General features: G+C 53.7%; 2 protein-coding genes and 1 non-coding gene across 8 annotated transcripts in view, besides 8 other annotated features; 2 read left to right on the plus strand and 1 right to left on the minus strand.

Annotated features, from left to right (window-relative positions):
- The window catches only part of GYS1 (glycogen synthase 1), a 25,180-nt gene extending 20,893 nt beyond the window's left edge, over positions 1 to 4,287 (minus strand). For 2 of the 3 annotated variants that reach the window (NM_001161587.2, NM_002103.5), the window contains exons 1-2: positions 3,973 to 4,287; positions 2,280 to 2,461 (exon numbers count right to left, since the gene is read on the minus strand). In NM_001161587.2, the coding sequence (NP_001155059.1) occupies positions 2,280 to 2,461; positions 3,973 to 4,090 (300 nt within the window). In that variant the 5' untranslated portion in view covers positions 4,091 to 4,287. The remainder of the gene's footprint in view (positions 1 to 2,279; positions 2,462 to 3,972) is intronic. The other variant, NR_027763.2, reaches the window with a different exon arrangement.
- Positions 743 to 1,134: an enhancer, noted in NCBI's record as "ENSG00000104812_19:54184834-54185225 (NCBI36/hg18 genome assembly) insert fragment". NCBI's record gives its function as "drives selective reporter gene expression in differentiated C2C12 myotubes {active_cell/tissue: C2C12}" and the evidence as "EXISTENCE:reporter gene assay evidence [ECO:0000049][PMID:22144875]".
- Positions 3,844 to 3,983: an enhancer, noted in NCBI's record as "active region_14922". NCBI's record gives its function as "activates an Ori minimal core promoter by ATAC-STARR-seq in GM12878 lymphoblastoid cells {active_cell/tissue: GM12878}" and the evidence as "EXISTENCE:reporter gene assay evidence [ECO:0000049][PMID:35858748]".
- Positions 4,194 to 4,553: a silencer, noted in NCBI's record as "silent region_10910". NCBI's record gives its function as "represses an Ori minimal core promoter by ATAC-STARR-seq in GM12878 lymphoblastoid cells {active_cell/tissue: GM12878}" and the evidence as "EXISTENCE:reporter gene assay evidence [ECO:0000049][PMID:35858748]".
- The window catches only part of RUVBL2 (RuvB like AAA ATPase 2), a 22,548-nt gene continuing 3,959 nt past the window's right edge, over positions 4,426 to 23,014 (plus strand). The window contains exons 1-11 of one of the 4 annotated variants that reach the window (NM_001321191.1): positions 4,426 to 4,880; positions 10,297 to 10,351; positions 14,257 to 14,312; positions 15,255 to 15,396; positions 17,996 to 18,125; positions 18,280 to 18,346; positions 20,754 to 20,860; positions 20,951 to 21,044; positions 21,466 to 21,589; positions 21,977 to 22,071; positions 22,170 to 22,288. In NM_001321191.1, coding sequence (NP_001308120.1) covers positions 15,267 to 15,396; positions 17,996 to 18,125; positions 18,280 to 18,346; positions 20,754 to 20,860; positions 20,951 to 21,044; positions 21,466 to 21,589; positions 21,977 to 22,071; positions 22,170 to 22,288 — 866 coding nt within the window. In that variant the 5' untranslated portion in view covers positions 4,426 to 4,880; positions 10,297 to 10,351; positions 14,257 to 14,312; positions 15,255 to 15,266. Of the gene's footprint in view, positions 4,902 to 10,296; positions 10,352 to 14,256; positions 14,313 to 15,184; positions 15,397 to 17,995; positions 18,126 to 18,279; positions 18,347 to 20,753; positions 20,861 to 20,950; positions 21,045 to 21,465; positions 21,590 to 21,976; positions 22,072 to 22,169; positions 22,289 to 23,014 lie in introns of all 4 variants that reach the window. The other 3 variants (NR_135578.2, NM_001321190.2, NM_006666.3) reach the window with 3 other exon arrangements.
- Positions 4,674 to 4,763: an enhancer, noted in NCBI's record as "active region_14923". NCBI's record gives its function as "activates an Ori minimal core promoter by ATAC-STARR-seq in GM12878 lymphoblastoid cells {active_cell/tissue: GM12878}" and the evidence as "EXISTENCE:reporter gene assay evidence [ECO:0000049][PMID:35858748]".
- Positions 10,750 to 11,044: an enhancer, noted in NCBI's record as "tiled region #732; HepG2 Activating non-DNase unmatched - State 17:Gen3', and K562 Activating DNase unmatched - State 25:Art". NCBI's record gives its function as "activates a minimal TATA promoter and a strong SV40 promoter by Sharpr-MPRA in HepG2 and K562 cells {active_cell/tissue: HepG2 | K562}" and the evidence as "EXISTENCE:reporter gene assay evidence [ECO:0000049][PMID:27701403]".
- Positions 15,306 to 15,805: an enhancer, noted in NCBI's record as "H3K4me1 hESC enhancer chr19:49507585-49508084 (GRCh37/hg19 assembly coordinates)". NCBI's record gives its function as "activates a minimal SCP1, AML or CMV promoter by ChIP-STARR-seq in primed H9 embryonic stem cells {active_cell/tissue: H9 hESC(primed)}" and the evidence as "EXISTENCE:reporter gene assay evidence [ECO:0000049][PMID:30033119]".
- Positions 20,418 to 20,919: an enhancer, noted in NCBI's record as "H3K4me1 hESC enhancer chr19:49512697-49513198 (GRCh37/hg19 assembly coordinates)". NCBI's record gives its function as "activates a minimal SCP1, AML or CMV promoter by ChIP-STARR-seq in primed H9 embryonic stem cells {active_cell/tissue: H9 hESC(primed)}" and the evidence as "EXISTENCE:reporter gene assay evidence [ECO:0000049][PMID:30033119]".
- MIR6798 (microRNA 6798) lies at positions 20,884 to 20,950 on the plus strand. Its single transcript, NR_106856.1, has one exon. It is a non-coding gene; the product is annotated as a microRNA 6798 (primary transcript).
- Positions 22,742 to 22,916: a silencer, noted in NCBI's record as "fragment chr19:49515021-49515195 (GRCh37/hg19 assembly coordinates)". NCBI's record gives its function as "represses an EF-1alpha promoter that drives an FKBP-Casp9 reporter gene in an ReSE screen in phorbol 12-myristate 13-acetate-treated (for megakaryocytic differentiation) K562 erythroleukemia cells {active_cell/tissue: K562(+PMA)}" and the evidence as "EXISTENCE:reporter gene assay evidence [ECO:0000049][PMID:32094911]".

Consider the following 23,014-nt stretch of genomic DNA (forward strand, 5'->3'; position numbering starts at 1 on the left):
CACAGCCTCCTTCCTTCCTTCCTTGCTTCCTTCCTTCCTTCCTTCCCTCTCTCCCTCCTTCCCTCCCTCTCTCCTTTTTCTTTCTTTCTTCCATTTTTTTTTGTTTGTTTTTGTTTTTGACAGGGTCTCACTCCGGTCACCCAGGCTGGAGTGCAGTGGTGCAATCATGGCTCACTGGGCTGGGCGCGGTGGCTCACGCCTGTAATCCTAGCTCTTTGGGGGGCCGAGGCGGGCGGATTGCCTGAGCTCAGGAGTTTGAGACCAGCCTGGGCAACATGGTGAAACCCTGTCTCTACTAAAATACAAAAAATTAGCCGGGCGTGGCAGCATGTGCCTGAGGTCCCAGCTACTTGGGAGGCCGAGGCAGGAGAATTGCTTGAACGCGGGAGGCGGAGGTTGCAGTGAGTCGAGATTGTACCACTGCACTCCAGACTCAGCGACAGAGTGAGATTCTATCTGAAAAAAAAAAAAAAAAAATTATGGCTCACTACAGCCTCCACATCCCATCCTCCCACCTCAGCCTCCTGAGTAACTGGGATCACGAGCACGCACCATCATGCCTGGCTAATTTTTTGTATTTTTAGTAGAGACAGAGTTTCGCCATGTTGCCCAGGTGGGTCAGGAACTCCTGGGCTCAAGCTATCCTCTCACCTCGGCCTCCCAAAGTGCTGGGATTCCAGGCATGAGCCACCGCCCTCGGCCACGCCACACATTTCTAACATAGCCCATCCTCTGTCCGTGCCCCAGGGCTGCATTTTTCTAGCCACTGCCGTGTTTCTAAGACTTGCTGTCTCACTTCTGCCTCTGCCACATTTCTCCAGTTGGCTGTTTTCCTCCCTGAGACCATGGCTTTGGTTCTGGGCCTGCTGCCACAGCAGTGGAGAAGCAGCCCCGCTCCTCGCCGACCTGGCTTTTTGCTGCCTGGAGCCTCGCTCTGAGGTCCCTCCCCCTCCCAGCTGTTGTCTGCCCTTTTGCTGGGGGGGGGGGGGGGCTATTCTTAGGCCCCCAGCACGTGGGAAGCAGCTGCCCTCAGGAAGCGACTGGGCTGTTCTGGGTTCCCTTAGGGACACAGTCGGACCTGAATGGATTCCAGACCCCACCCCAAACCAGAGGCTGTGAATGAGTAAAGGAACCACAGTGCCTCTCCATCCCCAGCCTGGACCTGTCTGTCCCTTAGCCCTGCCGCCTGATGGCTTTCTCCTTGGACAACAGCGTGCCGCCTGATGGCTTTCTCCTTGGACAACAGCGTGTCTCTTTCCGTCTTCACCCTGGGGCCCTGGAACTCCCCCTCCTCTCTAATCCCTGATCTGCCCATCTCAGACTCTGTCCTGTGGGTCTGTCCACTGACCTCTCCTCTCTTCCCCGATATTCCATGCTTCTCTCTCCTTCTAGGACTGGCTTTCTGAAACATCTGGTGGCCTCTCTTCTGTCCCCAGTCTATTACTCTTGCCTGTGGCTCCATCCACCCTTCTCCCTTGGTCTGCCTGTCCCCCTCACTCTCCAAGCTTGGCTGTTAGTAACAATAATGACGATGATCATAACAATGACAATCACCGCCCACACAATGTGCTACCTTCATGCCAAGAACTCTACTAACCACTTTGTCCTTATTAACTGTTTCCTCCTCCCAGCACCGCTAGAAGGTAGACGCTATTAGCATGTCCATTAGCCAAGGACACACAGGCAGCAAGTGGAGGGTGAACTTGAACTTCAAGCTCCAGAATCCTGCTCCTTCCTGACCTCAGGCCCACTTCTCCCCAGCTCTGCCTGGCTGGCTGGCATTCTTTTCTGAGACAGAGTCTCGCTCCGTCGCCCAGGCTGGAGTGCAGTGGCCCAATCGCAGCTCACTGCAACCTCCGCCTCCCGGGTTCAAGCGATTCTCCTGCCTCAGCCTCCCGAGTAGCTGGGATTACAGGCACCCGCCACCACACCCAGCTAATTTTTGTATTTTTGGTAGAGACGGGGTTTCGCCATGTTGACCAGGCTGTCTTTCGATCTTGCTCTCTTTCTCTCTGGGTCTGAGGACCTTGGCCTCTTGGATCTCCGTCTCAGTCTGTCTCATACTTGCCATCTGTCTGTCCATTCGCCCATGTCTGGGATCCACCCACCCACTTCCAGGCCCTGCATCTGTCTGGGTGTCCTATCACGCCTCCTTCCTGTGTCCAAGCCTGCCTCGCTCTCTGGCTGGGGCTGTCCACCCTGCACCCTCTCCGTCTGTGGCTCCCACCCCGATGGCAGGCTGTCCACCCGCTTCTGCCCTGGGCTGGGCCACGTCCCACCTTGCAGCCCTTGCTGTTCATGGAATCCAGTGTCCTCTTCAGGGCCGGGGTGGGGGCCTCCAGCAGTTCCACCTGGGTCCTCACGCCCTGCTCCGTGTACGGCCCCACCAGGAAGTAGTTGTCGCCCCATTCGTCCCCTGTCACCTTCGCCTTCGTCTGCAGCACCGTGTAGATGCCACCCACTGTGGGCCCAAGCGTGTGAGGGCAGGCCCCGGCCGAGGTCCATAGTTCTGGGGCCTGGGGTGGGGTGGGCCGGGGATGTAGGGGGCACTCAGGCCCCAGACCTCTAGCTCAGGGGGAAGAGGGGACTGGGAGCCCATAGTTTGGAGTAGGGGTTGGAAGCTTGGATGAGGGGAACACGAGGGCTGGAGGGCAGTCCTCCTGGGTCTAAGGGAGAAGGGGGCTGGGGTCAGGACCCTGAAGGAGGAGGGGGCTCAGGCTAGACTTCTGGGTCTGAGAGAGAAGGGGCTGGGTGCCGGGACCCCTTGGTCTGAAGGAATTAGGCACTGGGGCTCTAAGGATGGCAGAGCTGAGGACTGACTACCCGGACTCAGGTTCCCGAGTTCCCAGCTCACAGGAGCTGGGTTTAAATCGCAGCCAGGCTCCAAAACCCAGTGAGGGAGACCCCCTCATGGCCAATCCAGCTTCTCACCATTGCCCAAGAGAAGCCTGCATGGTCATTCCCTGCCCCCAGGGACCTTGCTGACCTGCCTCCCAATTTCCTCTCCCTGACTAGGGACACCAGCATGCAGGGCTCTGCCTCTCCCATGACCCTATCCCAGACCCAGGAGCCCCAGCCCCCAGCCTCCTCCCATCCTGGAGCCCAGGCCCTGGCGATACCCGGCTGGGTGTTCACGGGCCCCCTCTCCTCCTGGGAGACACAGTCCCTTTCTCCTCCAAGACCCAGCAAAGCAACCCCCCAGACCCTGCTCTTTGAGGTGTGAGATTGGCTTGTTCCTGGGGATTTCAGCCCCAGCCTTCTCCAAGGCCAGAACCTCAGCTTTCTGAAGCCCAAGACACAGAAATGCAGGCTCCTAGCCCCTCCCATCCTAGGGCCCAGCCTCTGACTAACTTAGGACTTCCCAGCCTTCCCCTATTCCAGTACGCATGTGTCCCAGGCCATGGGCTCCTCTACTCCTAGGAACTAATAGCTCAGGCCCTCAGCTCCTTCAAAGCCCAGGCATTCATTACAGTCTCCAGCCCGTCCCATCTTTATTCTTAAGCAGCCAGATCCTCAGGTCCTCCCACCGCCGCTCAGGCCTCCTATCTCCCAGTCAGCTCTCTCTCAAATCTGGAGTTTTATCCCCTAGACCATGCTGTTAGGGTCATAGGTCTGAAACCCCGGCAGCTTCCCAGGTTTGCACGCAGAAATCCCATCCCCCCATCCCCTTCCCTGTTCAGGACCCAGGTATCTAGTCTCTCGGAAGCCTGCCTCCAGGACCTAGGAGTCTCATTTTAGCGCCCTCTTCCCTAGGACCCAGAACCCGGGCTTCCAGCCTCCTTTCATCTTAAGTCAAACGAACCATCCCTCTCCCACCCACCTCCGGCTTCCCAGCCCCTCCTCAAGGACACAGCCTCCTTGCCCAGGTCACAAGGGTTCCCCTAGTAGCCCCGTCCTCCTACAACTCAGAGTTCCGGGCCCCCATCCACTACTGTCCTTCTCGTCAAGGGCCCCGACGCCTGGCGTGCTCACCCTTGTTAGCCACCTCCCAGGCCACTTCGAAGAGCACTGCGTTCTCCAGGTCGAATTCATCCTCCCAGTCCTCCAGTCCTGGCAGTGAGGACATGGACAAAGTGCGGTTTAAAGGCATGGCTGGCGCAGGAAGGGGGGCTCCGGGGATCTCCAGGTAGGGACCCCGGAGGTGTCTAGGGAATGCACCAGGTAGGGTGCGGGGCCGAGTAGCTGGTGCCCGACGGGAAGCTTGCAAGACGCTCGGCTTCCTATTGCAAGACCGCACCCCTGCCCCGAAGCGTTGGGACCTAGGCAGAAGGAGGCCGCAGCGTCACTGAGCCCACTGGCGCCCCTGCAGTGAAACCTCGCAGCCGCCAGGAGGCGGTGGCCGCCCCCCCCAGCCAGCGCCATTGGCCCACGCCCGGGGGCGGGGATTTCCGCGTGTCCTCATTGGTGGAACGGGTTGGAGTCGCTGTGTCCCGGCCCCGCCTCGGCCGTGAGACCTCCAGGGGGCGGAGCTTGCCGCTGCGCTTTACGGAAACGAGTGGCCTTCAGCTCTGTCAATCTGGAGCTGGAGGCCTCAAAGTGGGGAGGAGGAGGAGGGTGGGATAAAGAGGAAAGGAGCGTGGAGGACGTGTGGTTACTCAAAGAACAGCTAAGAATTTTGCAATCGGCCTGAGCGGGGCGGTGGTGGGGCTGAGCAAAAGGAGGAGGAGCCAGGAGACATTGGGAATGGACCCAGGAGTTCCGGACGCCCGTCTTCCAGCGCAGCCTCGGTGGGAGGGCGGGGCATAAAGTCCCGCCACGCCCCCACAATATTTACATATTTATGAGGAACCATCGAGATCTTTGAAGAACCAGCTAGCCTAGAGGAGCCAGAACATCTCGCTCCTCGCGCGTTTCCGTTTCCGCTAGGACTCTGGCAGTTGGTGAGCATCATGGCAACCGTTGTAAGTGTGGGTGCATGGAGGGTGAGGAGCGAGCTAGCAGTCTCGAGTTTGAGAGAGGAGGATGCTGGAGGCCCTGACTCCTGGGTCTGAGGGAGGGGGGATCTGGGGGTTCAGACTCCTGGGTCTGAAAGAGGAGGAAGCTCGGCCACCCAGATCTGGGGGAGAAGGGGACATGGGGGCTGGACTTCTGGATCTGAGGCGGGGAGGGGGCTGGGATCCCAGAATCTCGGGTCTGGCCCCATCATGCTATAGGAACTCCAACTTTCAAAATCATCTTGGCGCAACGGCCGGTTCCGCAGTCCTTGGCGCCAGTGTGTGATGAGGAGGGTTGTAGGACCTTGCGCTTCGAGCCATTTGGGAGCCTTGGATTGTTAGTGGTGCCAATGGCACTTGAGTTCCAAGCTGGAAGCACAGGCAGGTACCTGTTCAGTGTGTCTGAGAGCGCGAGGGCGCCTAGTGAGCCTTTAGTGGGAAGAAATTGTCGAGGAACAAGAGAGTCTTAGTGGAGAGGACTGAAGGATTAGGGACCCAGAAATCGGGATCTTGTCATGCTACCGTTTTGGCCATTTTCATATTTCCAGTATTTCACACGGGCTACGTCTCAGTGTAAATGCTCAATAAATTATCACTTGAATATTTGAATGAATGAATACATGTGAATGAAGGAGAGGCCAGGAAACTTGGCCTGGCACCTGCTCAATTACCTGAATAAAGAAGCGATTTTGGCCTGGCGTGGTGGCTCATGCCTGTAATCCCAGCACTTTGGGAGGCCGAGGCGGGCGGATCACTTCAGGTCAGGAGTTCGTGGCCAACATTGCGAAACCCCGTCTCTATTAAAAATACAAAAATTAGCCAGGTGTGGTGGTGCAGGCCTGTAATCCCAGCTACTCAGAAGGCTGAGGCAGGAGAATCGCTTGAACCTGGGAGGCAGAAGTTGCAGTGAGCCAAGATCGCGCCACTGCATTCCAGCCTGGGCGACAAAGCGAGACTCTGTCTCCAAAAAAAAAAAGGTAATGTGACCTGAACTTAGGGACTGGGCTGGGCTTACAGGTGCCTCAATTTCCATGATGAGCCCAGTCAAGATGGAGGAAGGGAGGGGGAGAAAGTTGTTGGTAGCTGGGGATGAGATTTGAGTCTGTTGCTGTCACCAGGGCAAGGAGGAGGAGGAGGTGGATAGGGAAGTAGAAGAGGAAGGCTATGACCAGAACTACCGTGGAGAAAGTATTGGAAGTATGAGGGGACGGTGTGTGCTGAGTTTTGAAATGACCTTGGTTTTCATGGGAACAGCGGGCAGCAAGGTTTTGGAGAGACTTATGATGAAAGAGAAAGTCTTTATAGGAGACAGTCCTTGGTAAGGGGCCTGTTTATGTTGAGAGAGCTACATTTGGGATTCCTGGATTCATGTCTTTTTTGTGGGGTGGGGATGCCTAGTCTTCTGCTTGTAGTCTGGGGGTAATGTTCTATGCTCCTGGGTTCCAGCTTCCTATAGGAGACGGTAGGTGGGAAGGTTCACACAGTGACAGGGAAAGCTTGTGACCATTGATGGCCAGAAAGTCTAAACGATTGGCTCCAGAGGGAGGAGGCTTCCTCTGGGCTGGATAACTGCATGTCCTCTCTAGGGGAAGAAGAGAAGAAAGACCTGTGGGCTGGGCACAGTGGCTCACGCCTGTAATCCCACACTTTGGGAGTCCGAGGTAGAAGGATTGCTTGAGCCCAGGAATTTAAGACTAGCCCTGGCAACATAGCGAAACCCTGTCTCTACAAAAAAATAAGAAAATTAGGCCGGGTGCGGTGGCTCACACCTGTAATCCCAGCACTTTGGGGGGTCGAGGCGGGCAGGTCATGAGGTCAGGAGTTTGAGAGCAGCCTGGCTAATATGGTGAAACCCCGTCTTTATTAAAAATACAAAAAAAATTAGCCGGGCGTGGTGGCACATGCCTGTAGTCCCAACTACTCTGGAGGCTGAGGCAGGAGAATTGCTTGAACCCGGGAGGCGAAGGTTGCAGTGAGCCGAGATCGCGCCACTGCACTCCAGCCTGGGTGACAGAGTAAGGCTGTGTCTCAAAAAAAAAAAAAAAAGAAAAGAAAAGAGAAGAAAATTAGCCAAGTGTGGTGGGACACACCTGTAGTCCCAACTACTTGGGAGACTAAGGTGGGAGGATTGCTTGAGCCTGGGAGGTGGAGGCCACAGCAGTCCAGCCTGGGGGACAAAATGAGATCTTATCTCAAAAAAAAAAACACAAACCTGTGGGAAGGAAGGAGACCTGGGGATGGGTGGCCTCGGTTAGCATGCTAGCTTCTTAGGCTTCCTTTTCCTTATTAGAAATTATGAACTATTCCAAAGTGTCAGAAAATAATGTAACAGACATGCAAAGATCCACCATCCAGGATTGTTTTTTTGTTTTTTCTTTTTTTCAAGACAGAGTCTCACTCTGTCTCCCAGGCTGGAGTGCAGTGGTGTGATCTTGGCTCCCTGCAGCCTCTGCCTCTCTCCCATGTTCAAATGATCCTCCTGCCTCAGCCTCCTGAGTAGCTGGGACTACAGGTGCGCGTCACCACGCCCAGCTAATTTTTGTATCTGTGTGTGTGTGTGTGTGTGTGTGTGTGTGTGTGTGTGTTAGTGATAGAGTCTTGCTCTGATGCCCAGGCTGGAGTGCAGTGGCGCGATCTCTGCTCGCTACAACCTCCGCCTCCTGGGTTCAAGCAATTCTCCTGCCTCAGCCTCCCAAGTACCTGGGATTACAGGCACCTGCCACCACGCCTGGCTAATTTTTTGTATTTTTAGTGTAGACTGGGTTTCACCATGTTGGCCAGGCTAGTCTCGAACTCCTGACCTCAAGTGATCCACCTGCCTTGACCTCCCAAAGTGCTGGGATTACGGGCGTGAGCCACCGTGCCTGACCTAATTTTTGTATTTTTAGTAGAGACAGGGTTTCACCATGTTGGCCAGGCTGGTCTCGAACCCCTGACCTCAAGTGATTTGCCTGCTTCAGCCTCCCAAAGTGCTGGTATTACAGGTGGGAGCCACTACGCCCAGCCTGTTGTTTTTTTTTTTTCTTAATAGCTTTATTGAGATAGAATTCACGTACTACATAATTCACCCATTTAAAGTATACAGCTCAGTGTTTTCTAGTATATTCACAGACTTGTGCAGCCATTTCCACAGTCAATTTTAGAACATTGTCGTCACCCCAAAAAGAAACCCCATGCCTCTTACCTGTCACCGCTAATCCTTCCATACCTCCCATCTTCAGTTCTAGGCAGCCACTAATCTTTCTCTGTATATGGATTTGCCTATTGTGGCTACTTCATATAGATGGAATCATACCATATGTGTCTTTCGTGTGTGGCTTCTTTCAGTCAGTATAATGTTTTCAAAGTTCATCCACGTTGTAGCATGTATCAGAACTCCATTCCTGGCCGGGCGCGGTGGCTCACGCCTATAACCCCAACGCTTTGGGGTGCCAAGGCAGGTGGATCACCTGAGGTCAGGAGTTCAAGACCAGCCTGGCCAACATGGTGAAACCCCATCTCTACTAAAAAATACAAAAAAATATTAGCCAGGTGTGGTGGCGGACACCTGTAATCCCAGCTACTCGGGAGGCTGAGGCAGAAGAATCACTTGAACCCAGGAAGCAGAGGTTGTAGTGAGCCAAGATTGCGCCATTGCACTCCAGCCTAGGTGACAGAGTGAGACTATGTCTCAAAAAAAAAAAAAAAAGAAAAGAAAAAAGAACTCCATTCCTTTTTATGACTGAATAATATTCCTTTGCACAAATAGACCCTGTTTTATTTTGCCATTCATCAGCTGATGGACATGTGGGTTGTTTCTATCTTTTGGCTGTTGTGAATAGTGCTGCCGTGAACACTCGTGTCCATGTTTTGTGTGGACCTCTGGGGGGGTCCTGAATTGTCCCGGGTGGTGTTTACTCACCTCCCTCCCCCATGTGAGAAGGGGTGGTAGCTGGCTCCTCTCTGTGGAGAACTGTCAACATGGGAAGCCTCGGTATATTCTTGTTGAATGAGCTCAGCACTTTAGAGTATCACTTAGCAAACCACAGACATTGAGTCCCGAGGTGAACAAGAGAGAACAGGCCGTGCCCTTCATGGGACTCATGTCCACTGGAGCAGAGAATATTGATCCATCCATCTCCCTCGGGAATGTGAGATCACACAGGGAGATCGGGCTCCCAGGGAGGCCTTTCATCTGTCTGAATGTCTAGAGGTCCTAGAACTAGCCTGGCAGGGCTGTTGGACAGAAAGGGCCTCCCCTAGGGGGCAGCACTTGATCTAATTCAGTGAGAGGGCAGGGAGAGCAGTCTGGACTCAGGGGCCAGCATGTGCAAGGCCTGGTGGTTGAGAACTGGGGCCGCCTGGTACAAGGGATGCTGGGAAATTAGCAGGGGCCAGAGCATGTCCAGCTCCATGCCTGCTCCTCATTGGTGTCTGTCCTTATGGAGCTCACAGTTATTAGAAATGGGGAGGACTTGTCTGGGCACGGTGGTTCACACCTGTAATCCCAGCACTTTGGGAGGCCTTGGTGGGCAGATCACTTGAGGTCAGGAGTTCGAGACCAGCCTGGCCAACCCCAGTAGAGATGGGCGAAACCCCATCTCTATTAAAAATACAAAAAAAATTAGCCAAGTGTGGTGGTGTGCGCCTGTAGTCCCAGCTACTCAGGAGGCTGAGGCGGGAGAATCGGTTAAACCCAGGAGGCGGAGGTTGCAATGAGCTGAGATCGGGCCACTGCACTCCAACCTGGGCGACAGAGCAGACTCCGTCTCAAAAAATAAGAAAAAAAAAAAAGAAATGGGGAGGACTTAGCCGGGCACAGTGGCTCACGCCCATAATCCCAGCACTCTGGGAGGCCAAGGCTGGTGTATCACTTGAGGCCAGGAGTTTGAGACCAGCCTGGCCAACATGGCAAAACCCCATCTCTACTAAAAATACAAAAATTAGCCGGGTGTGTTGATGCGCGCCTGTAATCCCAGCTAGTCAGGAGGCTGAGGCAGAGAATTTCTTGAACCCAGGAGGCGGAGGTTGCAGTGAGCCGAGATTGGGCCACTGCACTCCAGCCTGGGTGACAGAGCGAGACTTCATCTCAAAAAAAAAAAAAGAAACAGGGAGGATTTCATTCATTCACCAAATAACCAAATATGTGCTGGACCCTGAGGACCAAGCTGTCGATGAGACAGACAGTCCTTGTCTTCCTGGGGCTCAACCAACCAGCCATTAGGCAGTGACAGGCAAGAGGGGTGGGGGTGACTGGTGCCTGTCCCATCGCCTGCCTGTGAGGGGAAGGAGTGGAAAGGACCATCTCATGGGAGGGACAGAGGAGGGGTTGGTGAAAGCTGGGACCACACTAGTCCTCTGACACATCTTCTTGCACCCCCAGACAGCCACAACCAAAGTCCCGGAGATCCGTGATGTAACAAGGATTGAGCGAATCGGTGAGTGAGTTGGGTCAGGAATAGGACCTAAGCCCTGCCTGCCATGTGCCCTGACAGAGCAAACCTATTGAGGACCCCTAAGATGGAGAGGGAGGTGGCCTGCACACCAACTGTGCCCCCACTACCATTCCCCCACTCGCCCTATCTAATGGGGGAGGAGGATCCTCAGTTCCAGAGTTGGGTCAGATGATGCACTGGGGACCAGGCTGCTATCCTGGCTATCCTGGTGGGGTTCCCGGGTATGTTTGCCTGGAAGTCATAGATATTTACTGGGTGCTTTACTGGGTTTGGCCTCGTATACCCAGTACACACTGTGGGGTGAGTTCCCTGAGGGCAGGGACGAGGTCGTGTCATTCCTAGCTGTGTCCCTAGCACAGGACCTAACAGAGCAGATGATCAAGAGATAACCATTGAATGCACGAGTTTGCGTCCTGTGGAGCCCTCGCAGTAGCCGCATGAGGTGCATATTGTAACTGTTAGCTGAGGGAACTGATTTTCAGGACAGCTAAATCACTGGCCCCGGCTCACACAGAGCAGGAAGTTGAGACGCAGTGAGGCCAGCAGGGTGCGCTCTCACAAAGAGCTTTACCGGCAGGGAAGTGACCGCATTCATTCATGCAGCAGGCTCACTGATTCAGGGCATCCGAGAAAGGCAGTAAGGGCTTCTGGCTGTGAAGATGGGTTTTAGAAGCCCAGTGCTGGATTCCTGGAGCTTAGCTCTGCCACTTTCCCACCATGTGGCCAGGGACTAGTTCCTCTCTGTGCCTCAGTTTCCTTATCTGCAAGACGAAGCTAAGATAGTTTACCTCATCAGTTAATGTAAGATTCAGTAAGGTAGTTCATATAAAGCATTTTGGGTCTGTGTGCCAACACTGTTTCATCTATTAAAAGTGCTGGGGCACTGGGTGCAGTGGCTCATGCCTGTAATTCCAGCACTTTGGAAGGCCAAGGTGGGCGGATCACCTGAGGTCAGGAATTTGAGACCAGCCTGGCCAACATGGTGAAACCTCGTCTCTACTAAAAATACAAAAATTTGCTGGGCGTGGTGGCGCGTGCCTGTAATCCCAGCTACTCGGGAGGCTGAGGCAGGAAAATTGCTTGAACGAGGAGGTGGAGGTTGCAGTGAGCCAAGATCATGCCATTGCACTCCAGCCTGGGTGACAAGAGTGAAACTCTGTCTCTCAATAAATAAATAAATAAAAGTGCCGAGACTGGGTGCTGTAGCTCACGCCTGTAATCCCAGCACTTTGGGAGGCCGAGGCGGGTGGATCACCTGAAGTCAGGAGTTTGAGACCAGCTTGGCCAACATGGTGAAACCCTGTCTCTACTAAAAATACAAAAATTAGCCAGGCATGGTGGTGCATGCCTATAGTCCCAGCTACTAGGGAGGATGGCTTGAACCTGGGAGGCAGAGGTTGCAGTGAGCCAATATCGTGCCACTGCACTCCAGCTTGGGTGACAGAGTGACTCCATCTCAAAAACAAACAAAAAGTGCCAAGTATGGCCGGGCATGATGGGTCACGCCTGTAATCCTAGCACTTTGAGAGGTGGAGTCAGGAGGATTGCTTGAATCAGGAGTTCAAGACCAGCCTGAGTCACATAGTGTGATCCTGTCTCTAAAAAAAAAATAAAAAAATTAGCCGGCAGTGGTGGTCCATGCCTGAGTCCCAGCTACTTGGGAGAACTGCTTGAACCAAGGAGGTTCAGGATGTGGTGAGATGTGACTGCACCATGCACTCCAGCCTGGGTGACAGAGTGAGACGCTCTCTCAAAAAATAAAAATAAAAACATTTTTTTTTTTTTTTGGAGACGGAGTCTCGCTCTGTCGCCCAGGCTGGAGTGCAGTGGCGCAATCTCGGCTCACTGCAAGCTCTGCCTCCCGGGTTCACGCCATTCTCCTGCCTCAGCCTCCCGAGTAGCTGGGACTACAGGCGCCCGCCACCATGCCCGGCTAATTTTTTTGCGTTTTTAGTAGAGATGGAGTTTCCCCGTGTTAGCCAGGATGGTCTCGATCTCCTGACCTCGTGATCCGCCCGCCTCGGCCTCCCAAAGTGCTGGAATTACAGGCATGAGCCACCGCGCCTGGCCAAAAAACAATAAAAAATTAAAAAAAAAAAAAAAGGATGAAGAGCCAAGCACCGCTTGTGAGCTGAGGACCCAGTAGAGACTAGCTGCACCCAGGAGCCTCCCTTGGGGTGCTCACAGTCAAGCACTGGGGTCAGCAAATCTTTCCTTATTTTATTTTATTTTTTTTTTTGAGACGGAGTCTCATTCTGTCCCCCAGGCTGGAGTGCAGTGGCGCAATCTTGGCTCACTGCAAGCTCCACCTCCCGGGTTCACACCATTCTCCTGTCAGCCTTCCGAGTAGCTGGGACTACAGGCGCCTGACACCACGGCCGTCTAATTTTTTATATTTTTAGTAGAGACGTGGTTTCACTGTGTTAGCCAGGATGGTGTCTATCTCCTGACCTCGTGATCCGCCTGCCTCGGCCTCCCAAAATGCTGGGATTACAGGCGTGAGCCACCACGCCTGGACCCTAGCAAATCTTTCTTAAAGGGTCAGATGGTAAATCCTTCCTCTGTTGAAACTACTCAACTCTCCTCTTGCAGTGCGAAGGCAGCCACAGACAGTATATAAATGGCAGTGTTCCAATACAAAGATTTTTTGGTTGGTTTTTTGTTGTTTTTTTTTTGAGATGGAGTCTCACTGTGTTGCCCAGGCTGGAGTGCAGTGGGGCGATCTCAGTTCACTGCAACCTCCACCTCCCTGGTTTAAGTGACTCTCATGCCTCAGCCTCCCGAGTATCTGAGACTACAGGTGCATGCCACCACGCCAGGCTAATTTTTGTATTTTTTAGTAGAGACGGGGTTTCACCATGTTGGCCAGGCTAGTCTCGAACTCCTGACCTCAGGTGATCTGCTTGCCTCTGCCTCCCGAAGTGCTGGGATTATAAGCGTGAGCCACCGTACCCAGCTCCAATAAAATTTTATTTGCAAAAACAGGTGGCTGGCCTCCAGGCTGAGGTTTGCTCAACCCTCATCTAATGTAAAGCATGGGAATCCCATCTTCCCCTCTCGCTGGCTGTGTGGCTGGGGCATGGGACCTAACCTCTCTGAGCTCCCTCCCCATTCATATCAATAGGTTCTGGGACTGTTGCCATTTTGATACTCAGAAGTGCTTTCAGGGTGATAGCAGCCAGGGCTCTTGTTTCATTTTATTTTGTTTTACTGAGACAGGTCTTGCTCTGTCATCCAGGCTAGAATGCAGTGGCACAATCTTGGCTCACTGCAACCTCCGCCTCCCAGGTTCAAGCAATTCTCCTGCCTCAGCCTCCTGAGAAGCTGGGATTACAGTCATCTGCCACCATGCCCAGCTAATTTTTGTATTTTTAGTAGAGACAGGGTTTCACCATGTTGGCCAGGCTGGTCTCGAACTCCTGACCTCCAGTGATCCGCCCGCCTCGGCCTCCCAAAGTGCTGGGATTATAGGCAGGAGCCACTGCGCCCGGCCCCAGCCAGGGCTCTTTTTTTGCAGGATCATATGGAATAAACTGAGAACATGTGGGTGCTGTGTAAACCATAAACATGAAGTAATTGTGATCATTAGCCCTTGTGGTTAGATCTTAGTACAATTATGTGCTTAATCAGGCCTCAGTGACTTTTGTTTAACTAGGATGCATCCTCAGAGCAGCTCCAGTTCATTGAGCATTTACCACATTCAGCCATCTTCCTAGGGAGGTGCCAATTTGGGATATCCTTTCCATGTGCCCCTTCATTCCCCCAACCCCTGCTCCCTACTCCCACCCACCCCTTTGACAAAGAAGGAAACCAGGGCTCAGAGGGGTCAGGCCACATGTGCAGCAAGCTGGCTAGTAACTGAGTCTTTGTTCTTTCCCTTCATGTAGGTGCCCACTCCCACATCCGGGGACTGGGGCTGGACGATGCCTTGGAGCCTCGGCAGGTAGAGCAGAGGAGGCTGGGGTGTGAGGGCCTCTCCATGAAGGTCTTGGGTAGTGGGTACCCAGGGTCCTGGGGAGTGTGGGGACTATGTTACGGTCTTCTGGACCTTTGGCTACATACCCATAAACTTCAACCACATGTGGGTTTTCTTGGTACTAAAGAATTGATTAGGCTAGGTGTGGTGGCTCATGCCTGTAATCTCAGCACTTTGGGAGGCCAAGGTGGGTGGATCACCTGAAGTCAGAGTCAAGACCAGCCTGACCAACATGGTGAAACCCTGTCTCTACTAAAAATACAAAAATTAGCCGGGCATGGTGGTGCATGCCTGTAATTCCAGCTACTCAAGAGCCTAAGGCAGGAGAATTGCTTGAACCTGGGAGGTGGAGGTTGCAATGAGCCGAGATTGTGCCACTGCCCTCCAGCCTGGGTGACATCTCGGAAAAAAAAAAAAAGAATTGGGAGTGGGTAGCAATTGCTTTGCCACCTTAAAAAAAAGTTAGACTGGGTGCAATGGCTCACACTTGTAATCCCAATACTTTGGGAGGCTGAGATGGGAAGATTGCTTGAGCCTAAGAGCTTGAGGCCAGCCTGGGTAACATAGTGACACCTCCTTTCTACAAAAAATTTTAAAAATTAGCTGGACATGGTGGTGCACATTTGTGGTCCCAGCTACTCAAGAGGCTGAGGTGGAAGGATCTCTTGATCCCTAGAGGTCAAGGCTACAGTGAGCCATGATTGTACCACTGTACTTCAGCCTGGGTGACAGAGCGAGATCTTGTCTCAAAAAAAAAAAAAAAAAAAAAAAAAGCAGGGAAAGCTTTTTTGGCTTTTCCTAGAAGTCCCAGCTAGTAATGTCTGCTTCCATCTCACTAGCTTCCTGATGTGGTAGAAATGCCATGGTAGCCCCACAGGAAATCACCTCATGTGCGCCTCCCACCCACAGGCTTCGCAAGGCATGGTGGGTCAGCTGGCGGCACGGCGGGCGGCTGGCGTGGTGCTGGAGATGATCCGGGAAGGGAAGATTGCCGGTCGGGCAGTCCTTATTGCTGGCCAGCCGGGCACGGGGAAGACGGCCATCGCCATGGGTAAGAAACCTCCCAGGGCAGGAACTCTCCTGTTTCCTGCTAAATAACTCCTCCTGTGTAAGTCAGGGTCAGGATGAGCCGCCTTTAACAGATGACCCAAAATGGCAGTGGCTTAAACACTCAGGATTCATTCTTGCCCATGGAAGAATCTAGAGGTAGGCCATTTGGGGCTTATTAAGCAGTTCCAGGAAGTCTTCCATCTTCCTGCCTCACCATCCTCTGCACTTGGTTCCAGTCAAGAGGACGCCATGTTCCAAGAGGGCTGCCAGAGCTCCAGCCTTCCCACTCATAACCCAGGCAGCAGGAAGAAAGGAGTTGCCATGAGGATGAACCCCCTCGAGTTGGCTTCCTTTAAACAGTCATTGGAAATCCTCCATGCTTCTGCTTATATCTCATTATCTCATTGACTAGAATGTAATCATATGATCACACTCTGCTTCAGGGGAGGCTGGCACATTAAATGTTTTTTAAAATTTCATAATTTGGACCATTTTTGCCTTAAGAAAATGAGGATTCTTCTGTTGGGCAAAAGGTTGTTGTAAAAATAAAAAATTAAAAAAAAAAAAACAGGAAAGAAAATGAGGGTTCTAGAACTAAGGAAGAAGGGGAAGGTGGGTATTGAGGAGTCACCCAGCAGTCTTTGTTGCAGTCCGCTAGTGGTTTATGATCTTTTCACTCCCAGCTGTTCCTCTTCTTCCTTGTTGAACTCCTATTTATCCTTCAAAACCCTACTTCAGCATCTCTGCCCCATTGAAGCTTTTCCTAACCCACTGCTCTTCCCACTCACTCCCACCTCTGTGCTGAGGCTGGGGCCAGGCAGGGAGAATCAGAGTAACAGCCAGGTCTTCAGTGAAGATAAAGCAGTGCCTGTTGGGGTGCTCGGACTGGACACTGGGGACCCATAGATGAGTTAGACCAAGGCCTGACTTCAAAGAGCTCCTGGTCTGGAGGAGGTGGTCATGGACACGATCCCTTCCAAGGCGACATGTGTTACAATGCAGGTAGCATGTGACAGAGGAGGCTCCTGACCTTGGTAGGAAAACGGGGCATGTGGTGGCATTTGTTGCTAGAGGCTTCCAGAGAAGCGGATACCTGAGCTAAGCCTAGTAGGATGGCCAGGAGGCTCCTGGGCGGACACTGGGGACAGCATGTCCAGGCCCAGAATGTGGCACACACAGTAACTTCCTTCCCTCCATCCTTTCTGCTTTCCTACTCTTCTTCATTTTTTTTTTTTTTTGAGACAGTTTCACTCTGTCGCTCAGGCTGGAGTGCAGTGGTGTGATCTTCGCTCACTGCAACCTCTGCCTCCTGGGTTCAAGTGATCCTCCTGCCTCAACCTCCCAAGTAGCTGGGATTACAGATGTGTGCCACCACACCCAACTGATTTTTGTATTTTTAGTAGAAATGGGATTTCACCATGTTGACCAGGCTGGTCCCGAACTCCTGACCTCAGGTGATCCACCCCCCTGCCTCGGCCTCCCAAAGTGCTGGGATTACAGGCGGGAGCCTGTAGACTTTATTTTTTAGGCATGTTGTGACTGTGCCCGGCCTCGCCTTTCCTCTTCTTGTGTCTCCCGCAGGCCTCCTGCAGGCCAAACCCTGTGCTGGGCAGCACTGGGGTGAGGCTAGCCTCGCCCTGGCGGGGACGCTTCTTAGTCTAGTGAAAGAGGCAGAGAGGACCCCTGGTGTCCCCAGATGGCATGGGCCGTGCTCGTCCACTCAGCCCTCAGCAGATACTTGCTGAGTTCTGTGATGAGGGCCATTGTGTATCCGCAAAGAGGACTAAGAACAGGTCCCACTTGACACTGGGCAGGAGGGTGTGGTGTCAGCCTGTCTGAAAGGGCGTGCCCCACATTGGACCAAACCTTGTGGCCAGGGAACTGGAAGGAAAGGTCTGGCGTTCAGAGCTATTGCTGGAGACAGACCTGCTTCCTGCCAGCCACCCCAGGCCACCGGCGGTAGAGCGTCCTGCCCTGTGCCAGTTTCAGGCTGCGCAACCGTGTTACTGCTGAGCACCAGTGCCTGCCTGCCTGCCTGCCCATAGTCACTCCTAAGCAGGGTGTCATCCCATGCTGGCACGTGTTCTGTTATCATCCCCATTAGACAGAGGGGGAGACTGAGGCTCAGGGAGCAGTTCAGATCGCTCAAGATCCCACGGCGCCACCTGCACTTAAGTGGTGGATCTGGGATGGGAGCCGAGGCAGTCTGCCTTCATCACTTGTAGCTATCGTGTGGGCTCCTTGGCCTTCGTCCCTGGTCCCCTTCGTCCAGCTCTGAGGCTAAACAGCTCGTAGAGGCTGGGAGACTGAGGTGTGGCGAGGTTCTAGGGTGTACCCTCTGGGCAATGTGGGATTCTAAGCCAGGCCTGCCGGAGCAACCTGCCCTGCCTGGCTTCTCACTCACTGTCTGCCTCATGGCTGAACCCCGCTCTCCAGTTCCCCCTCCCCAGCGCTCTGCTCAGCTCGGAGCCAAGTCCTTACATGTAGGATGGCACTGAACCCTCTTTCCTGGGGTGGGAGAAAAGCTAGTTTGCCACAGAGCAGGTGTCGGGGACCTGGTGCCAGAGCGGCTTCACCTACACAGACTGCCTCCTTCCCAGGCATGGCGCAGGCCCTGGGCCCTGACACGCCATTCACAGCCATCGCCGGCAGTGAAATCTTCTCCCTGGAGATGAGCAAGACCGAGGCGCTGACGCAGGCCTTCCGGCGGTCCATCGGCGTTCGCATCAAGTAAGCGGGGGACCCGAGGCGGGTGCCAGACCCCAGAGCCTGGGAGCAACCCCGCACCCCGGGCGGCTCGTCCTTTGTCCCAGAGCTCATGGAAGGTTGTGATTCCCGAGGGTCCAGGTGTCAGGCTGTCTCCTCAGATCTGCTCTCTGGCTAGGGAGGAGACGGAGATCATCGAAGGGGAGGTGGTGGAGATCCAGATTGATCGACCAGCAACAGGGACGGTGAGTCTGTGTGAGTCTGTACCCTGCTGAGGCCACCTCCAGCGCCAGGGTTGGAGAGAGTAGATATCAGGTCTGCACTGAGGTCAGAATCCCATGGAATGTTCTAGCTGCAGACTAGAGCCATGTACATGCCTACAGTAGGAGGTCAGTTAACTTGACAATGGCTTATCCCCTTATGAAGGACATTATGGGCAATAGAAACTGAGGCGGTAAAATAATGAGAGAGATCTGTTAGTGAGTTCCCAACAGACCTCAAAACCCAACAGACTTCAAAACTCGTTCCGTGGCCGAAAGGCATGTCCTGTCCATCTTACATGATACAGGTGATTTGCTCTCTCTTTTTTTTTTGTTTTCGAGACAGAGTCTCCCTCTGTCCCCCAGACTGGAATGCAGTGGTGCAATCTCGGCTCACTGCAACCTCTGCCTCCCAGGTTCAAGTGATTCTTCTGCCTCAGCCTTCCGAGTAGCTGAGATTACAGGTGTGTGCATGCCACCACGCCCGGCTAATTTTTGTACTTTCAGTAGAGACGGGGTTTCACCATGTTGGCCAGGCTGGTCTTGAACTCCTGACCTCGTGATCTGCCCACCTTGGCCTCCCAAAGTGCTGGGATTACAGCCGTGAGCCACCATACCTGGCCTCTTTTTTTTTTTTTTTTTTTTTTTTTACAATTTCTGTTTTCTCCTTTTTGCATAGCTGTGTTTTCTGATTTTGTGATCAACAAAAACACTTTTTATTTGGGTATAAAATAGGAATGTCAAAGTGTGACATTTGGCAATTTTGCGAGACCTCGGGCCTATGTTGTTTTTGATAGACTTTATTTTTTAGGCATGTTGTTTGTTTACTATTTTTATTTTTTATTTTTATTTTATTTTATTATAATTTTTTTTTTGAGATGGAGTCTTGCTCTGTTGCCCAGGCTGGAGTGCAGTGGCACAATCTCAGCTCACGGCAAGCTCTGCCTCCCGGGTTCATGCCATTCTCCTGCCTCAGCCTCCCGAGTAGCTGGGACTACAGGCACCTGCCACCACGCCCGGCTAATTTTTTGTATTTTTAGTAGAGACGGGGTTTCACTGTGGTCTCGATCTCCTGACCTTGTGATCTGCCCGCCTCGGCCTCCCAAAGTGCTGGGATTACAGGTGTGAGCCACTGCACCCTGCCTGTTTACTATTTTTATTAAGAGCTTTATTGAGTTTTGGCCAGGCGCAGTGGCTCACACCTGTAATCCCAGCACTTTGGGAGGCTGAGGTGGGCGATCACTTGAGATCAGGAGTTCGAAACGAGCCTGACTAACATGGTGAAACCCTGTCTATACTAAAAATACAAAATGGCTGGGCGCGGTGGTTCATGCCTATAATCCCAGCACTTTGGGAGGCCGAGGCGGGTGGATCACCTGAAGTCAGGAGTTCAAGACCAGCCTGACCAACATGGTGAAACCCTGTCTCTACTAAAAATACAAAAAATTAGCTGGGCGTGGTGGTGGGTGCTTGTAATCCCAGCTACTTGGGAGGCTAAGGCAGGAGAATCGCTTGAATCTGGGAGGCAGAAGTTGCAGTAAGCCGAGATCACACCATTGCACTCCAGCCTGGGCAACAAGAGCGAAACTCCATCTCAAAAATAAATAAATAATAAAAACACAAAACAATTAGCTGGGTATGGTGGCACACATCTGTAATCCCAGCTACTTGGGAGGCTGAGGCAGGAGAACTACTTGAACCCGGGAGATGGAGGTTGGAGTGAGCTGAGATCACACCACTGCACTCCAGCCTGGGCGACAGAGCAAGACTCTATCTCAAAAAAAAAAAAAAAAAAAAAAAAAAAAAAAAAAAAGAGCTTTATTCACCAGGCGCAGTAGCTCACTCCTGTAATCCCAGCACTTTGGGAGGCCGAGGTGGGCAGATCACAAGGTCAGGAGATCGAGACCATCCTGGCTATCACAGTGAAACCCCATCTCTACTAAAAATACAAAAATTAGCCATGCGTGGTGGCGGGCGCCTGTAGTCCCAGCTACTCGGGAGGCTGAGGCAGGAGAATGGCGTGAACCCGGGAGGCAGAGCTTGCAGTGAGCCGAGATCATGCTACTACACTCCAGCGTGGGCGACAGAGCAAGACTCCGTCTCAAAAAAAAAAAGAACTTTATTGAGTTTTAATTGACATACAGAAAGCTGTACACATTGCAAGTGTCCAGTATGGTCCGTTGGGACATACATGTTCAGCCGCGGAGCCATCACCGCGTCAGGCTGGTGAGCGCACCGTATGTCTTCCCTGGAGAGCTTCCTTGTGTTGTGCCCATTTTGAAGCTGTGGAAGCAGAGGCCAGAGCAGAGCCAGAAGCTTATCAACACTGGGGGCACTGGGGCAACATCAGGGCCCTCTCTGAGCCCCATCCCTGGCTTGTCCCCACTCTCAGGGCTCCAAGGTGGGCAAACTGACCCTCAAGACCACAGAGATGGAGACCATCTACGACCTGGGCACCAAGATGATTGAGTCCCTGACCAAGGACAAGGTCCAGGCCGGGTGAGCAGTCAGGGGCCATGCCAGGCAGCCAGGGGGATGGGCGAGCTTGGGCCCATTCCTTTCCTTACCCTACCCCCCATCCCCCTGTAGGGACGTGATCACCATCGACAAGGCGACGGGCAAGATCTCCAAGCTGGGCCGCTCCTTCACACGCGCCCGCGACTACGACGCTATGGGCTCCCAGGTGCGGCCGGGACTCCCGGGATCCCCTCGCCCCCAGCACTGGGGTGTTTTCATCTCCTCCATCACCCCCTTGACCCATGGGGTCTGGATCTTCCTGTTACCCTGACTGTTTGTCCTGGTACTCCTGGGTCTTCCCTGTAACCCTAGGACAGCAGGGCCCCTCAGCCTGGCACTATAGCTTCGCATGGCCACATGTGGCCTGTGGCTTCTAAGGTCCTCCGGGAGCCCCCGTGACCCTCAGCGCTCTGGAATGTCCCTAGTCCTGACTACCTCCTGGGCCTGGGGTTTCCAGATGACCCCATTTAGCCTCCCAGCTCCATTTCCTGGAGCTCCAGTCTCCCCCAGACAGAGGGCTTTAGGGGCCCCCTTCATGCCCTTCCCTGCCCTGTCTCCGCCGTTCTTCCCCCACCCCCGCCCCATAGACCAAGTTCGTGCAGTGCCCAGATGGGGAGCTCCAGAAACGCAAGGAGGTGGTGCACACCGTGTCCCTGCACGAGATCGACGTCATCAACTCTCGCACCCAGGGCTTCCTGGCGCTCTTCTCAGGTGAGGCCCCTCCTGCCCTGCCCTGCCCTGCCCTGCCCCAGGCCTAGCAGCCTCCCTCGGGCTCCCTCTGTTCCTGAGCTCCGAGTGTGGCCCACCTGCTCCACGCTGTTTCCTGTAACTCCGGCCCGTGGCTGCCTCTGTTCTCCACCTGCAAGTCCGCTCCGTCCCCACCCCTGCTGGTGCTGTGATGGGTGTGGCCCTGCCCTCTCCCCTCCTGTGTTCTCTGCCTCTGTTCCTCCTCTTTGGGGATGTTTCAGGCTCCTCATCCCTCCTTGCTTTGCTCCCCTTCCTCCATCCCTGGCATCATCCTTCTCTGTCTTAGCCACACTCTGGCCCTGGAACCCGCCTCCTCTCTGGCTTCCCTGATGCAACCTGTGCCTCCCATAGGTGACACAGGGGAGATCAAGTCAGAAGTCCGTGAGCAGATCAATGCCAAGGTGGCTGAGTGGCGCGAGGAGGGCAAGGCGGAGATCATCCCTGGAGTGAGGACCCAGGACATGGCCGGGGCGGGTGGTGGGGTGGAGGTGGGCCGGGGAAGTGGGGACGCGGGTGGTGACTCTCACACACACCCCAATCCAAGGTGCTGTTCATCGACGAGGTCCACATGCTGGACATCGAGAGCTTCTCCTTCCTCAACCGGGCCCTGGAGAGTGACATGGCGCCTGTCCTGATCATGGCCACCAACCGTGGCATCACGCGGTGAGCCGGCTACAGGGGCCTCTGGGGAAAACAGGATGCTCTGGGCAGTGGGTGTGGTCAGAGGGTCAATGGGAGCCTGTGTTGACACCGGGTCAGGGAGGGACGCGTGACTGCAGTGTGCGCTCTTTGCTTACAAAAGGCGGGTGGGAGGCAGCTCTGCTTCCCGAGGAAGCCCAGAGACTGTGTTCTTGCTGCCTTTCTGTCTTGCTGCTCCTTTAGCCCCCAAGGCTGCAGTCTTCAAACTGCGTGCCGAGGCACCCCAGGGTGCTGCAGGAAACTCACAGGAGTGCTGTGGGATGTTTTCTAGTCTTGAGGGAAGCACAGTGACATCTGTTAGACATAACATAAACTACGATTGTTCAGTCACTTCGACCCAGCAACTCCATTAACAGAACTCTTAGCGTTGTGTTTGGCCTAAGGATGCCAGGGACAGATTCCCATGACACAGAGGGTACCGTGCTCTGCTGAAGCCTGGGAACCTCATCTCCCAGGTGTTGCCAGCACCCTGTGCACGGGGAACTCTTAATGTTGTGTTTGGCCTGAGGATGCCGGGGACAGATTCCTGTGACACAGAGGGTACTGTGCTGTGCTGAAGCCTGGGAACCTCGTCTCCCAGGTGTTGCCAGCACCCTGTGTAGCTGGGATTACGGGCACCTGCCACCATGCCCGCTGGCTGTCTTCTCCACCTCGCCACATTTTGGCCCGCAGGAAGCAGGGGGATGTGGA

This window comes from Homo sapiens, chromosome 19, assembly GCF_000001405.40.
Source record: "Homo sapiens chromosome 19, GRCh38.p14 Primary Assembly".
In the NCBI taxonomy this organism is placed as follows: Eukaryota; Metazoa; Chordata; class Mammalia; order Primates; family Hominidae; genus Homo; species Homo sapiens.